Source organism: Homo sapiens, chromosome 2 (assembly GCF_000001405.40).
Source record: "Homo sapiens chromosome 2, GRCh38.p14 Primary Assembly".
NCBI classification, from domain to species: domain Eukaryota; kingdom Metazoa; phylum Chordata; class Mammalia; order Primates; family Hominidae; genus Homo; species Homo sapiens.
In genome coordinates, this window is record NC_000002.12 from 47,715,697 (window position 1) to 47,730,928 (window position 15,232).

General features: G+C 44.7%; 3 annotated features.

The window, feature by feature from the left end:
* Window positions 3,185-3,234: an enhancer, noted in NCBI's record as "active region_15738". NCBI's record gives its function as "activates an Ori minimal core promoter by ATAC-STARR-seq in GM12878 lymphoblastoid cells {active_cell/tissue: GM12878}" and the evidence as "EXISTENCE:reporter gene assay evidence [ECO:0000049][PMID:35858748]".
* Window positions 5,784-6,589: an enhancer, noted in NCBI's record as "NANOG-H3K27ac hESC enhancer chr2:47948619-47949424 (GRCh37/hg19 assembly coordinates)". NCBI's record gives its function as "activates a minimal SCP1, AML or CMV promoter by ChIP-STARR-seq in naive and primed H9 embryonic stem cells {active_cell/tissue: H9 hESC(naive and primed)}" and the evidence as "EXISTENCE:reporter gene assay evidence [ECO:0000049][PMID:30033119]".
* Window positions 8,549-8,998: an enhancer, noted in NCBI's record as "active region_15739". NCBI's record gives its function as "activates an Ori minimal core promoter by ATAC-STARR-seq in GM12878 lymphoblastoid cells {active_cell/tissue: GM12878}" and the evidence as "EXISTENCE:reporter gene assay evidence [ECO:0000049][PMID:35858748]".

Genomic DNA, 15,232 nt, shown 5'->3' on the forward strand with positions numbered 1-15,232 from the left:
CTCAGACAAATAAACATTAAAACCGCAATGAACTATATACCATTTTGCACCGCTATAATGACTAAAATTCAAAAGACAGACGATAACAAATGTTAGCAAAGATGTACAGCAGTTGGAATTCTCATTAAATGCTCATAAAAATGTAAAATGATACAACCACTTTGGAAAACAGTTTGGCAATTTCTTATAAAGTTAGGCAGTTAAACATACACCTACTCTATGACCTAGCATTTCCACTTTTAAGTATTTACCAAGATAAATGAAACTATCCACAAAAATACTTGTGTCCAAATGTTCATAGTAACCTTATTTCTACTAGACCAAACTGGGAAACAACCCAACTGTCCTTAAACAGATGAATTGTGATAAAAATTGTGATATATCCATACTATGATGTCTAACTCAACATTAAAATGGAAAAAAAATTTGGCCAGGCCCAATGGCTTGTGCTACTTGGCCAAGAAAGTTCTATATCTTGATTGAAGTTGTGGGCAGCACGCCATCCAGGTGCCGAGGCAAGAGACCCAGGGCATGAGCTGTTCCAGTATAATAAAATATATGAAACAACAAGAGTTATACTAGATCTGAGTTATACTAGATCTAGATCTAGACGTGATTATATATGAATATCATTAATCATTAGTTTGTAGCAATTACTCTTTATTCCAATATTTTAATAATCCTTGCTCTATAATCATAACTTAGGAAAAACCAGGCCATACAGAGATAGGAGCTGAGGGGACATAGTGAGAAGTGACCAGAAGACAAGAGTGTGAGCCTTCCGTTATGCCCGGACACGGCCACCAGAGGCCTCCTTGGCCTAGCGGTAATGCCAGCATCTGGGAAGACACCCATTGCCAAGCAGACTGTGGTCTAGCAGTAGCGTCAGTGCCAAGGAAAAACACCCACTACTTAGCAGACCAGGAAAGGGAGTCTCCCTTTCCCCGGGGGAGTTTAGAGAAGACTCTACTCCTCCACCTCTTGTGGAGGGCCTGACATCAGTCAGGCCCACCCGCAGTTATCCGGAGGCCTAACCGTCTCCCTGTGATGCTGTGCTTCAGTGGTCATGCTCTTAGTCCGCTTTCATGTTCCATCCTGTACACCTGGCTCTACCTTTTAGATAGCAGTAGCAAAATTAGTGAAAGTACTAAAAGTCTCTGATATGCAGAAATAATGGTGTAAGCTGTCTCTCCCTCTCTCTCTCTCTGTCTCTCTGCCTCGGATGCCTGGCAGGGAAGGGCCCCCTGTCCAGTGGACACGTGACCCACGTGAGCTTACTTATCATTGGAGATGGCTCACACTCCTTACCCTGCCCCTTTGTCTTGTATCCAATAAATATCAGTGCAGCCTGGCATTCGGGGCCACTACCGGTCTCTGCGTCTTGGTGGTAGTGGTCCCCTGGGCCCAGCTGTCTTGTCTTTTATCTTTTTATCTTGTGTCTGTATTTTTACAATCTCTCATTTCTGCACATGGGGAGAAAAACCCACCGACCCTTTGGGTCTGGACCCTACAGAGGTGATGGTTAGATGGGAATATGCATTTGTCATAACTCATTAAGGGCCAGGCACAGTGGCTCACAGCTGTGATCCTGGCACTTTGGGAGTCTGAGGTGGGATCACTTGAGGCCAGGAGTTCCAGATCAGCCTGGGAAACAAAGTGAGACCCCTTGTCCCTAAAAAAAAATTTAAAAATTAGCTAGGCAAGGTGGTACACGCCTGTGGTCCCAACAACTCAAAAGGCTAAGGTGGGAGGATGACTTGAGCCTAGGAGTTCAAGGCTATAGTGAGCCATGATTGCACCACTGCACTCCAGCCTGAGTGACAGAGCAAGATCCTGTCTCCAAAGAGAAAAAAAACCAACTCATTGAGCTATCTAGTTTAAATATGCAGTTTATTGTTTGTAAATTATATCTGAATAAATTTTACTTTATTTATTTTTAGAGACAGGGTCTCACTCTGTCACCCAGGCTGGAGTGCAGTGGTACCATCACGGCTGCCTGCATGCAGCCTTGCCCTCCTGGGCTCAAGCCATTCTCTTACCTCAGCCTCCCAAGTTGCTGGGACCACAGGCATCCACCACCATGCCCAGCTAATTTTTAAATTATCTGTAGAGATGAGGTTGCACTATGTTGCCCAGGCTGATCTCAAACTCCTGGCCTCAAGCAATTCTCCCACCTCGGCCCCCCAAAGTACTGAGATTATAGATGTGAGCCACTGAGCCTGCCTAAATTTGACTTCATAAAAAGAATTATTTGGCAACCACTAGATGCCAGGTTTGTAAGCTGAGAAGAAAGAATGAACAAAGAGGAAATAGTTGAAGATATAGGAGAAAAGGGATAGCAGACAAGGTCCCTGAGAAAGCGAGAAGGAAGGAAACTCAGAGCCCAGACGGAGGAGTTTGCCATGGCTGATGCAGTGAACTCTGAGGCACAAGGGAAGGCAGGCAATGGGAGAGGGAGCTGACTAGAAACAGGTAGAAGGGGCTGGGCATGATGGTTCATGCCTGTAATCCCAGCACTCTGGGCAGCTGAGATGAGAAGATTGCTTGAGGCCAGGAGTTCAACACCAGCCTGAGCAACATAGTGAGACCTCATCTCTATTTAATTTAATGTATATATGACCGTCAGGCCATGCCATAGCCCCGCTGAGCCTGGCGACCTTGGATCTTCAATCTCCCCAAGAATGGAATTTCTCCAGCATTGCTCAGTAACCTGGAGGAGGAGGCAGAGAGTCCAGAGTTTGGGGAGTTGAGGTCGGGCATGGTGGCTCATGCCTGTAACCCCAGCACTTTGGGAGGCCAAGGCGGATCAGCTGAGGTCAGGAGTTTGAGACAAGCCTGGGCCAACATGGTAAAACCCCGTCTCTACTAAGAATACAAAAATTAGCTGGACATGGTGGCAGGCGCCTGTAGTCCCAGCTACTCAGGAGGCTGAGGCAGGAGAATTGCTTGAACCCAGGAGGTGGAGGTTTCAGTGAGCTGAGATCATGCCACTGCACTCCAGCCTGGGCAACAGAGCAAGACTCCATCTCAAAAAAAAAAAAAAAAAAAAAAAAAAGTTTGGGGAGTTTAAAGCAGGTGGCATGAAAGAAAAAAATGGTTAGAGTTGGAGGCATTGACAGGTAACTTGGAAGACACAGCCTTCGGAGGGCTCAGCTGGGTGGGGAAGGAAGTGAAGCCAGGAGGAGCATAGGTAAAGAAAAGGGAAAGCTTGAGGGGCAGGTGGAACAAGTAAGAGTCTGGGGGTAGGAGATGGTGGTTAGGCTGGATTTGGAACTGAAATTCTCTTTAGCTTCTGTCTGCTCCTCTTTAGCTCACAGACAAAGCATTTAAGATTTCTTTGACAACCTGCGTTTCAGTAAATTCCACATATTTGTTGAAAGCCTATTGTATAGGAATCTGAACTGTCTTGTAAAGGGAAGTTTGTGTAGGTTGTTTCTGCCTAGTAGAAGATAAATTCTCCTGCAGCTGTATTCATACAGCTCTGTATCCTCCCACTTCAGCAGCAAACGTCACACTGCATCTTTAAGTCGATAACCTAAATATATATCTCACACCCTTTAGTCCACAGTTTCACTTTTAAGAATTTATTCTTATGAGTGTGTTTGCATATGTGTGCAACGACTTCGATACAAGAGTATTCATTTGAATACCATTTGTAATAGCAGTCCTAGGAGGGCTGACATCACTGAGAGGCTGGTTTAATAAATAATGGCACTTCTGTGCAATGGCATGCCATTGCATTCATCACAACAACAGGAAAATGATTTGGGTACTGATATGAACTTATTTTAAAAATGTATTACTTAGCCTGGGCACCATAGGGAGACTATGTCTCATTCATATATATTAGAGACTCCTGTAGTCCCAACAGCTTGATAGGCTGAGGTGAGAGGATCGCTTGAGCCCAGGAGGTTGAGGTTATAGTGAGCTATGATACCCACTGCATTCTAGCTTGGGCTTCAGAGTGATAACCTGTATCAAAAAAAAAAAAAAAAAAAAAGGAAAGAAAAAAGAAATGTATTGCTTACAGTGAAAATGAAAATAGGGCACAGAACAGGGGCAATGGTGTTTTATCTTTTCTATAAAAATAAAAAACACATATACACTTAGGAACTGGTGTCACTCCTGAGGCAGGATAGGGAGGAGGGACCTTTACAATTTTATGTGATTTTACCCTTAAAATTTGAGGAGAAAGTGAGAGAGAGAGGAAGAGAGACTTCACTTGTTAGTTTCTGGAGGGACAGGGAAAAGTACGACCTACAAAATGAAGCTCTAATGGTGGAATTTCAGGACTTGAACCCCCCGGCATCCCTCAGTAGTCACTATGCTGCTGACCTCTATCCAGCACCTCCCAGAGCTGATAGAAGATATGTCGCTGGCTCTAAACGACTGGACTTAAGAGGCCAGGCCTCTGGAAAGGGGGATGCATAAAGCATCTATGTACAAACACCTCACCAATCCATCACTGAGCTACTCAGCAACCTCACCAGAACATAGCTGAGAATCAAAACTTTTGGTTTTCTTGAGACAGGGTTTCACTCTATTGCTCAGGCTGGAGTGCAGTGGTGCAAGCACGACTCACTGCAGCCTTGACCTCCCAGGGTTAAGCAATCCTCCCACCCCACCCTCCCAGTAGCTGGCACCACAAGCATGTGCCACCAGACCCAGCTAATTTTTTTTCTTTTCTCTTTTTTGAGATGAGTTCTCACCATGTTGTCCAGGCTGGTCTTGAACTCCTGGCTTCAAGTGATCCTCCTGCCTCAGCCTCCCAGATTACTGGGATTACAGGTATGAGCCACTGCACTCTGCCCAGAACTTTTTTTTCTACTGACTCTGAAGTGTTACCATAGATGATACTGAAACTCATACATTTCCTTGCTCCTCAGTCAGAGCCCATGTTCCCCTTCTGGGGATCCACTTGGCCCTCCAGAATAAGTGTGAAGATTATTTTAAACCGAAGACACTAGAGATACAGCAGATGCAGAAAGAAGCCTTTTTGGAACTTCCTTTATTTCACTAAAAGGAAGAGCCTTCTGGGAGTAAAGTTGCCATAAATCTCCTCTCCAGAGGAGCTCACTCCCAGGAAGAACACCAACCACTCATGTAGACAAACATAAACATCAGCAACAAACTCCCATCTCTTCCATTTGTTTCTCTAAAAGTCCATTTGTCTTTCCTCAAATGTCCATGTGTCTTTCCCATAGAAGCCTTTCTCTCGCTCTCTTTTCCTTATTAGGTTGAGATCAATGAGCTTCTTTATCTGAACGTTCCTGCATGCATATAAATAAAACTTGTTTTCTTTTTCTTTTTTTTTTTTTTTTTTGAGACTGAGTCTCGCTCTGTCGCCCAGGCTGGAGTGTAGTGGCGCGATCTCAGCTCACTGCAACCTTTGAACCTACCGGGTTCAAGCAATTCTCTGCCTCAGCCTCCCTAGTAGCTGGGATTATAGGCGCCCGCCACCACGCCTGGCTAATTTTTTTGTATTTTTAGTAGAGGCGGGGTTTCATCATGTTGGCCAGCCTAGTCTTGAACTCCTGACCTCGTGATTCACCTACCTCGGCCTCCCAAAGTGCTGTGATTACAGGTGTGAGCCACCGTACCCAGCCAACTTGTTTTCTTTTTCTGTTTTGTTTTTGAGAGAGGCTTTTGCTCTGCTGCCCAGGCTGGAGTGCAGTGGCACAATCATGGCTCGCTGCAGCCTCAACCTCCTGGGCTTAAGCAATCCTTCTACCGCAGCATCCTGCATAGCTGACACTACAGACGCATGCCACCATGCCTGGCTAATTATGGGATCTCACTTTGTTGCCCAGGCTGGTCTTGAACCCCTGGGCTGAAGCGATCCTCCCACCTTAGCCTCCCAAAATGCCAGGATTAAAGGCGTGAGCCACCTCGCCCGGCCAAACTTGTTTTATTTTTGCCTGTTTATCTGTCTATTGTCAGTTAATTTGCGGGCCCCTGATCATTGGACCTAAGTCCTCAGTAGAGAAAAAGATTTTTATCCCATAAACCTTCCATACGGAGTTTTTAACTAAGCCTGGTTAACAAATTTTCTTTTTCTTTCTTTTTTTTTTTTTAATTGATCATTCTTGGGCGTTTCTCGCAGAGGGGGATTTGGCAGGGTCACAGGACAATAGTGGAGGGAAGGTCAGCAGATAAACAAGTGAACAAAGGTCTCTGGTTTTCCTAGGCAGAGGACCCTGCGGCCTTCCGCAGTGTTTGTGTCCCTGGGTATTTGAGATTAGGGAGTGGTGATGACTCTTAACGAGCATGCTGCCTTCAAGCATCTGTTTAACAAAGCACATCTTGCACCGCCCTTAATCCATTCACTGGTTAACAAATTTTCAAGCCAATGGGGAAAACAGCAAATTACAAGGGGAGAAAGAGATGATTTCAGGCAGAAGCCTTCCTTCAACTTCATTGTGACGGATGACAACCTAGCGTTGGAAGGAGAGAAAAAAAAATCCATTTAAAAAAATAAAAAAGCCAGGCATGGTGGCTCACGCCTGTAATCCCAGCACGGAGGCCGAGGCAGGAGGACCCCTTGAAGTCAGGAGTTCAAGACCAGCCTGGCCAACATGGTGAAACCCCGTCTCTACTAAAAATACAAAAATTAGCTGGGCATGGTGGTGCGTGCCTGTAATCCCAGCTACTGAGGAGGCTGATGTGCGAGAATCGCTTGAACCCAGGAGGTAGAGGTTGCAATGAGCTGAGATCATGCACTCCAGCCTGGATGACAGAGTGAGACTCTGTCGCGAAAAACAAGCCAGGAACAGCAGCTTGTGTCTGTAATTCGAGCACTTTGGGTGGCCACGTCAGGAGGATCTCTTGAGCCCAGGAGTTCAAGACCAGCCTGGGCAACATAGTGGGACCCCCATCTCTACAAAAAAATGAAAAATAAAAAAAAATTAGCCAGGTGTGGTGGTGCGTGCCTATAGTCCTCCCAGTTTCTTAGGAGGCTGAGGTGGGAGGATCACTTGACCCCAGGAGTTCAAGTTTGCAGTGAGCTATGTTTGCGCCACTGCACTTCAGCCTAAGCAACAAAGTGAGACCCTGTCTCAAAAATAAAAAAATTAAAAATAAGAACTTCCAAGAAGTCCAGAATCTGCCATTCTGCATGCCTTCTTGGATGTCATGAGAGCATTAGAGTTGCCTCACAATCCAGGTATTTTCTTAATTACAAAAGACTTTAAACCACCCCTCTGTCTTTTGGAGAGCCTTCCCGCTCCTGCAGTTGGCCAGTATTTACAATCAGACTCCGAAGTTTTCCAAGCTGCCATGATCCTTCAAGCTAACAAGAAACAACAAACAGCTGGGGAATATGTCTCTTCAACCTGCTTCTTTGACTTTAACAGAGCCTCACCTGTAGAGAAGTGGGGCCTTGGGATCTGGGAGCTGCTCCAGAACCCCCAACCTCTAGTCCTGCCAGGGAACAGCAACCTATCCAAGCCCTACTACCCAAGAACCCATCTTTCTTGTAAATCCTACACAGAAGATGCAGCCCCACCCTCCAAAACCAAGGGACCACTCAGTCCTGCTGACTCTATCCTCCGAAGCTTCTTGGATCAGCCCCTCCCACCAACCCTTCTGCTATTTCCATGTTTCAGACCTTCAGATGTTCTACCTCCAGCTAGAGCAACATCCTTCTAACTCCAGGCTTCTTCTGGTCCATTGAGATGACATAAGTCACTTCAGTTTACCACCTTCCAAAGACTCCCCATCACCTTCTGGTTAAAGTCCAACACCCTTGAAATGGCATTCATGGCCCTTCATGGAGCTCTCCTGGCCTGCCTGACCTCTCACCACCTCCTGCCTTGCACTTCACTGCGTACAGTCACTACACTGTCTAATATGGTAGCCACCAGCTGCAAGCAGCTCTTTAAATTTCATTATTTGATTTTAGACAGGGTCTCACTCTATCACTGAGGCTGGAGGGTAGTGGCGTGATGACGGCTTACGGCAGCCTCACCCTCCCAGGCTCAAGGGATCCTCTCACCTCGGCCTCCTGAGTAGCTAGGACTACAGGCATGCACCATCACGCCCGGCTAATTTTTTATTTTTTGTAGAGATGGGGTCTCACTATGTTGCCCAGGCTGGTCTTGAATTCCTGTGCTCAAGCAATCCTCACATCTTAGCCTCCCAAAGTGCTAGGATTACAGGCCTGAACCACTGTGCCTGGCCTAAGTTTTAGTTAAAATAAAATTAAAAATTTAGTTTCTCAGTTGCACTATCCACATTTCAAGTGCTTACTAGCTAGAGATTGCATACTGGACAGCATAGAAATAGAACATTCCCATCAACACAGACTTTTACTAGACAGCATTCCTCTAGAAACACCCAAGTGTTTTTATTTTTTTGCACACATCATGCTGTCTTGCCCTGCCAGGTCTTTGCTCATGCCTCTGCCCAAAAGATGCTTTCTTTTATCTTTTCACATGGGTGAGGCTTCGAGACTCAGCTCACAGGTCATCTCTAAGAAGACTTATTCGAATCTCCAGGCTGGGGCAAGTGCTTGGTTCCTGTGTTCTAATAGTTCCTTGTGTTAACTAATCTCTATCTGACCACTTAGCATTTGCTGATACTTCTGTCTCCTCCATAAGACTCTGAGTTCCTCTGGGGCAGGGCCGTGTCTTCGTCAACTCTGTATCCCCAGTGCCTGGCACAAAGCAGGTGTCCTTTGCCGTTGGTCGAACTCATCTGAGTGGAACTGTCAGTGGTGCATGACCATAGAACAGTACAAGTTTAATTGTGTATTAGTAAAGACTCCTATGTAGAGAGAAACAACCTCAACTCAAACCAGTCAAGAGAAAAGAGGAAGTAATGGTTCAATAATTGGGAAGCCCCAGGTTGGTTCTGACTTCATGCATGACTGGATCCAGTGGCTCAACACACGTTACCAGGGCCTGGTTCCCTCCCCAGCTCTTGGCTCTGTTGACTGCCCTGTAACATCCCTCTCAGGCAAGATGACCACGAGTACTGTTGGTCCTTAGTATCTCCAATTTAGCAACCTCAGTGAAGAGAGAAATTCTCTCTCAATTATCTACTTAGTGGTCTCCAGGATGATCCTGTTTGGCCTTGATTTGGTTGTGTGCCCTCCCTCCATGAATCACTGTGGACTGTGAAAAGGAGTAGTTTGTTTGGCTGTGTCATCCTGGCTTACGTGTCTGTTCCTGGGGTGAGAGTGGGGGAGATGAGTATATACGAGCATCATGATTGACAGCTTCACAGGCCACCTGGAAAAAGAAGGCGTTACCCAAAGGAACCAGAAGAATAGATTGCAGGAATAGTGGGAGATAGGGGCTTTACCTCCCACAGGCCCCGCTGCCCATTTGGAGATAGGAGGCAGGGTCAGCTGCTCTCTCAGTGACCTGGACTCCTGCTTGCTTTCTCTTGCCCTTTGTACTTTTCCCATGTAGACCAGAGTCCACTAACCCTCAGATTTCAAGCCACCAATCAGCAGGCTGCAAAGGATCTTGAATTTAGAAGATTTTGCTGGCCCGGAAATACATAGTGATGGAGCTTTGAAAGACAATGGGCCGGGCATAGTGGCTTAGGCCACCCATCACTTTGGGGGGCCAAGGCGGGCAGATCACTTGAGGCCAGGAGTTCGAGACCAGCCTGGCTAGCACAGCAAAACCCCATCTCTACTAAAGATACAAAAATTAAGCAGGTTTGGTGGCGCATGCCTGTAATCCCCAGCTCTTGGCTCTGTTGACTGCCCTGTAACATCCCTCTCAGGCAAGATGAACACGAGTACTGTTGGTCCTTAGTATCTCCAATTTAGCAACCTCAGGAGGCTGAGGCACGAGAATTACTTGAACCCGAGACGGAGGTTGCAGTGAGCTGAGATTGCGCCACTGAACTCCAACCTGAACAACAGAGTGAAACTCTGTCCCAAAAAAAAAGAAGAAGAAAGAAAAAAACTGGCCTCACTCTGGAAAGAACGCTTGTAGAATTTGCCAGCTCTGGTCAAGGACCTACAAGCTGTTGTAACCTTCCTGTTTTTCATGCATTTAAAAAATTAGCTGGGCATAGTGGCTCATGCCTGTAACCCCAGCACTTTGGGAGGCTAAGGCAGAAGGATCGCTTGAGGTCAGGAGTTCAAGACCAGACTGGGCAACATAGGGAAATCCCATCTCTATAATTTTTTTTTTTTTTTATTAACCAGGCATGGTGGAGTGGGCCTGTAATCCTAGCTGCCCAGGAGACTGAGGCGGGAGTATTTCTCAAGCCCAGGGATTCAAGGCTACAGTGAGCTATGATTGCATCACTACACTGCAGCCTGGGCTTCAGAGTAAGACTCTGTCTCTAAAAAAAAAAGAATAGAAAAAATTTTTAAGGTATAATTTACATACAGTAAAATTCACCCTTTTTAGTGTATAGCATTGTGAGTTTTGACTATAGTCATCCACCGCAGTCAAGATGTAAATCAGTTCCCTCAGCCACAGTTCCCTGGGCCCAGTTATAGCCAAACTTTCCCCAGGCCCTGTCCCTGGCAACTACTGATCTGTTTTCTATCCCCATAGTTTTTATTTTTTATTATTAATTTTTTTATTTTAGAGATGGGGTCTCACTCTCTTATCCAGGCTGGAATTCAGTTGTATGATCACAGCTCACAGCAGCCTCAAACTCCTGGGCTCAAGCAATTCTCCTGCTTTGGCCTACTGAGTAGCTGGGACTACAGGCTTGTGCCACCATGCCCAGCTAATTTAAAAAAACAAAAAACAAAACAAAAAAAAAACTTTTTTGTAGATTGGGGGTCTCACCGTTACCATCTTGCCCAGGATGATCTCCAACTCCTGGCCTCAAGTGAGCTTCCCACCTTGGCCTCCCAAAGTGTGGGGATTACAGGCATGAGCCACCTCCCCTGTCCCTGTCCCTATAGTTTTAACTTTTCCAAAATATATAAATGGAAACATAAGGTATGAAGGTTTTGAGTTTAGCTTCTTTCATTTAGCATAAGACAATTGATACATGTCCATGATGCTCTATACATCAATAGTCATTCCTTTTTATTGCTAAATAACACTTCACTGATGGATGTACCACATATTAGTTATGCTCTGATTTAGGTACATCTGGGTTTTTTCCAATTTTTTTCATTTATGAATAAAGCTGCTATAAACATAGATTTTCTCTTTTAAAAAATTGTTTTGGGGACAGGGACTGGTCTCACTATGTTGCTCAGGCTGATCCGAAACTCCTGGACTCAAGCAATTCTCCCACCTCAGCCTCCTGAGTAGTTGGGACTACAGGTACACACCAGCATCCCCAGCTATAAATTTTCATTTCTCTTGGGTAAATACCTAGGAGTGGGATTTCTGGGTTTTATGATAAATGTTGAAATTTATATGAAACTGCCAAATTGTTTCCCAAAGAGACTATATTATTCTGTATGGCTACTACATTATATGAGCATTGCAGTCACTGTGCATTCTTGCCAGAACTTGGGTTTGTTGGTTTTTTTTTTTTTTAAGCTATTCTAATAGATGTGTAGTGGTATTACACTTTGGTTTTAATTTGCATTTCCCTAATGACTAATCATGTTTAACATTTTAGCAGCCGGGTGCAGTGGCTTATGCCTGTAATCCTAGCACTTTAGGAGGTTAAGCCAGATGGATCACTTAAGCCCAAAAATTTAAGACCAGCTTGGGCAACATAGTGAGACCCCATCTCTCAAAAAAAATTAAAAATTAACTGGGCATGGTGGTATGCACCTGTAGTCCCAGCTACTCGGAAGGCTGAGGTGAGAGGATGGCTGAAGCTGGGGAGGTCGAGGCTGCAGTGAGCCGAGATTGCACTGCTACACTCCAGCCTGGAAAACAGAGTGAGACCCTGTCTCAAGAAAAGAAAAAAATATTTTTTGCATGTATTTATTTGCCATCCATATATCATCTTTGTGGAAGTGTCCATTCAAATACATTTTTTTTTTCAGACAGGTTTTCACTCTGTTGCCCAGGCTGAGTGCAGTGGGGGCGATTACCAGGTTGTTACTGGAAAGGGGTCCCAATCCAGGCCCTAAGACGATGTTCTTGGATCTCGCACAATAAAGAATTTGAGGTGAATCCATAAAGTGAAAGCAAGTTTATTCAGAAAGTAAAGGAATAAAAGAATGGCTACTCCAGAGGCAGAGCAGCCCCAAGGGCTGCTGGTTGCCCATTTTTATGGTTATTTCTCGATTACATGCTAAATAAGTGGTGGATTATTCATGCCTCCCCTTTTTGGACCATATAGGGTAGCTTTCTGACGTTGCCATGACATTTGTAAACTGTCATGGCGCTGGTGGGAGTGTAGCAGTGAGAAAGACCAGAGATCACTCTTGTAGCCTTCTTGGTTTTGGTGGGTTTTAGCCAGCTTCTTTACTGCGACCTGTTTTAGCAGCAAGGTCTTTATCACCTGTATCTTGTGCTGATCTCCTATCTTATCCTGTGACTTAGAATGCCTTAACTTCCTGGGAATGCAGCCCAGCAGGTCTCAACCTTATTTTACCCAGCCCCTATTCAAGATGGAGTTGTTCCGGTCCAAACACCTCTGACAAGGTGAGGTCAGAGCCCTGGCATCAGAAAGTGGTTGACTTGCAGGTTGGTAAGAAGAATCTACTGACAGCAGAATAGATTTGAAAAGTCAAGTTTTATTAGATAGAAAGTACACTGCAGAAAAGTGCAGCCAGGCGCATCATTAAGAGAACTGAGCACGCCATGGTGGATTTTCCTTAGGGATATTTATGGACCTTAAAGCGAGAGTTTAAGGGTACTTCAGACCATATTAGTGCACATAGGTCATGATTATTGATTACATTTGCAGACATTTTGGTGTCTTAATGTCAGCAAGGGTTGCACAATGAGTTTCAACATGCATGCATTCTGGAGATGTATAGAAATTCTAGTTATTTATAAATTTTGGGGAAAGAGGCCTGGAACCAGATGCTGACTTTAGGTAACAGGGAAGGCTAATTACTTCTAAATTCCTCAGATAAGGAGTTTTGTCTCTGGATGGCCTGCTTGATGGTAACCAGGTGATCTTTGTTCTTCTGAGTGATCACAGCTCACTGTAGCCTTGACTTCCCTGGCTCAAACGATCCTCCCCACTCAGCCTTCTGAGTAGCTGGAACGACAGGCATGTGCCACCATATTTTTTGTGGAGACGGGATGTCGCCATGTTGCCCAAGCTGGTCTTGAATTCCTGGGCTCAAGCAATCTGCCTGCCTTGGCCTCCCAAAATGTTAATATTATAGGTATGAGCCACTGTGTCTGGCTCATTTCTCATCTTTTAAAGTAGGGTTGACTTTTTATTATTGAGTTTTCTGAGTTCTCTACATATTCTGGATTCAAGTCCTTTATCAGATATAAGTTTTGCAAAAAAAAAAAAAAGCGTCTCTCCATTTGTGGCTTTTCTTTTTGTTCTTTCAACAGTGTCTTTTGAAGAGAAGTTCTTCAAGTTCTTTTGAAGAGAAGTCCAAGTTATTGATTTTTTCTTTTACGAGCTGTACTTTTGGTGTCATATCTAAGAAATCGTGGCCTAACCCAAGCTCACAAATGTTTTATCCTAGAAGTTTTACAGTTTTAGGTTTTACATTTATGTCTATGATCCATTTTGAATTAATTTTTATGGGGTGTGAAGTATAGATTGAGATTCATTTTTTTGCACCTGGATGTCTAATTGTTCCATCTCCATTCCTTAAATACACTGTACTTTTCCCATTGAATTATTTTTGTCTGTTTGTCAAAAATCAGTTGACCATATACGTATGTAACAGGACTGCTAGGTTTGTATGCCTGCTGCCACAGCAACAGGCCAATACACTGACAGCAAGTTTTGCAGCAGAGAAAGAGTTTAATAATTCCAAAGCGCCAAACAAGGAAACAGGAGGAATTCTCAAGCCTCAAATCCATTTTCTCTAGGTTTTCTGGGCAAAGGTTTTTAAGGGGATCATGGAGGGTGAAGGGCTAGAAAACTGGGGTCATTGATTGGTTGGAGTAAAGTGAACGAAATAATCAGAATGTGTTGACCCAGTGCAGTGGCTTACGCCTATAGTCCCAGCACTTTGGGAGGCTGAGGCAGGCAGATCACCTGAGGTCAGGAGTTCAAGACCTGCCTGGACTACATGGTGAAACCCCATCTCTACTAAAAATACAAAAGTTAGCTGGGCATGGTGGCGCATGCCTATAGATCCAGTTACTCAGGAGGCTGAGGCAGGAGAATCACTTGAACCCAGGAGCAGGAGGTTGCAGTGAGCCGAGATTGCGCCGTTGCACTCCAGCCTGGGCAACAGAGTGAGACACTGTCTCAAAATAATAATAATAATAATAATAATAATAATCAGGATGTGGAAACTGCATTCTTCCATGAATCAGCTTTCTGCTGGGCCCCTCAGAACAGCTGGTATGGGTAGTTTTGTTGTATGCAAAACCCAAAGGAGAAACTCCATGGGAAACTTAGCATCTCACAAGGCCTTAGATTTCATCTACAGAATGGAAAGAGAACAGTCTTGTGACAAGGACTACCAACATCCTGGGGTAGTAAGCAAAGAGCAGCCACAAGGGAGTGGGCCAAAGAGCGAGCTGGCTTAATGATCACTGCTAACTGTGCTGCAAGCCTAGTTGAATTTTTTCCTCTCTTAATCGATTTTATAAAGTTTTCCTGGGGACAGTTGCATGCATGGATCTATTTCTGGGCTCTTTATTCTATTCCATTAATCTGTATGTCTCTCCTTTCTCCAATATCACACTGTGTTGACTACTGTATCTTTACGTAAAATGTAGAAAGTAGAGTGGGTTCAACAACATTATTCTTCTTTTTCAAAATTGTTTTAACTATTCTAGTTCTTTTGCCTTTTGCCTTTTTTTTTTTTTTTTTAATTATTATTATTTGAGACAAGGTCTGGCTCTGTCATCCAGGCTGGAGTGGGGTGGCTCAATCTCGGCTCCCTGCAACCTCCTCCTCCCGGGCTCAAGCCATTCTTCCACCTCACCCTCCCAAGTAGCTAATTGTTTTTTTTTTTTTTTTTGGACGGAGTTTTGCTCTTGTTGCCCAGGCTGGAGTGCAATGCCTCGATCTCAGCTCACCACAACCTCCGCCTCCTGGGTTTAAGCGATTCTCCTGCCTCAGCCTACTGTGTAGGTGGGATTACAGGCATGCGCCACCATGCCCAGCTAATTTTGTATTTTAGTAGAGATGGGGTTTCTCCATGTTGGTCAGGCTGGTCTCAAATTCCCGACCTCGGGTGATCCACTCG